A 1767-nucleotide genomic window follows, 5' to 3' on the forward strand; every position below is an offset into this window, starting at 1 on the left:
GGTAGGCAATCAACAGTACTTCTATGAGAGGAAGAACATATTGTAACTTGTAAATTTAAAAATCCAGCAAAACTATCATTTTTTTATTGAGGGTACAATCCTCAGAAATAAACATACTTAGAAAATATACCACCCATATATCTTTCTTGAAAATATTATAGATAACTGAGAGAAGAATAAGACAACTCATAAAGAAGTCATGTTATGAAACAACTGATAGTGATCAACGAATTCAATAACACAAGTTAAATCTGATTGTTTTAATTGTTTTTAAGAAGAATACCTGCAAATTACATTAAAAACTAAATACTTAAATGACATTTAAGCTAGGATCTGAAAATTAAAAATTATTTAGACAGGTAAAGAGTTGAGAGAAGAGCATGCCAGACAGAAGGAATGATGTGAGCATTTCCTTAAGGCTGGAGCGGAAATAAGCATAACATAGATTAGGAAGGTGTCAGATCACACCGAGCCTTGTGTGCCATGTTAGGGATTTGGAATTTTATTTTAAGCAGACTGAACATTGCTAGTGTTTTAAGTATAGTAGTCACATATCTCATTCTATTTTAAGAAGATCATACTGGTTTCTTTCTCTTTTTTTTTAATCATGCCACATTATTTTTAATTACATACAAAGATCTAACATGTCGCCCAGGGACCATTTCACCCACTGCTCTGTTTGGCCGCCAGTCTTTTGTCTCTCTCTTCAACAATGGTGAGGTGGGTACCCTTTCCTCAGGAAAAAGAAATTCACAGTTTGTTGCCCTTGCCAATAACAAAAATGTTGGAAAGACGAGTGGCAAACCTGTTGCTGTTGGCATCTTTCATGTGAACCACGTCAAAAGATCCACGGTGCCTCTCTCTGTGGTGATCACACCAATTCTTCCCAGGTTAGCACTTCCAGTCACCATACACAGGTTACCAGTGTCAAACTTGGTGAAATCAGTAATCTTGCCAGTCTCCAAATCAATCTGAATGATATCATTCACCTTGATAAGGGGATCAGGATAGTGGATGGTGCGAGCATCATGAGTCACAAGACGAGAGATTCCTTTTGTGCCCACAAAGATTTTTCTCACTTTGCACAACTTGTACTTGGCCTCCTCAGGTGTAATATGATGTACAGCAAAGCGACCCTTGGTGTCACAGATCAGATGGAAATTCTCTCCCGTCTTGTCAATGCTGATGACATCCATGAACCCAGCAGGGTAGGTTATATCAGTTTGGACCTTGCCATCGATCTTAATGAACTGCTGAATGCAAATCTTCTTTACTTCATCTCCTGTCAGGGCATACTTAAGTCTGTTCCTTAGGAAGATGATGAGGGAGAGACACACTCTCAACTTGTGGGACCGGTGGATGGACGAGGATCAAACACACTGGTCAACTTATCCAGCATCCAATGCTTTGGAGCTGCTACCCACTTCAGATGCTTCTTGGGATCACAAGTCATGGCTGCATTAAGCAAGGAAAGAGGACCCCCATCTTCCAGTGTGTGTAGAAATTTGGTTTCTCTTTAAAAAGACTGATGAGAGCAAGGCAAGGGTGGAAGTTAGGAAGCTACTGAAGGTGAGAAATTATGTTGTTCATACTGAGCAGGAGTGTGAAAACGAAAAGATATTGATAAATTGGAAATACATGTAGAGATATGCAATAAGACAAGCTGAAGGATTGCAGATGTATGAGGATGAGTTGAGGGAAATGGTAGAATCAAAAGAAGCCAAGCTTTTGGCTGTGTGGGTGGTAGTGCCACTTACTAAAAAGGTA

General features: G+C 39.3%; 1 pseudogene; it reads right to left on the bottom strand.

The window, feature by feature from the left end:
- On the bottom strand, positions 602–1506 carry RPS4XP1 (ribosomal protein S4X pseudogene 1; annotated as a pseudogene).

Source organism: Homo sapiens, chromosome 12 (assembly GCF_000001405.40).
Source record: "Homo sapiens chromosome 12, GRCh38.p14 Primary Assembly".
NCBI lineage: Eukaryota > Metazoa > Chordata > Mammalia > Primates > Hominidae > Homo > Homo sapiens.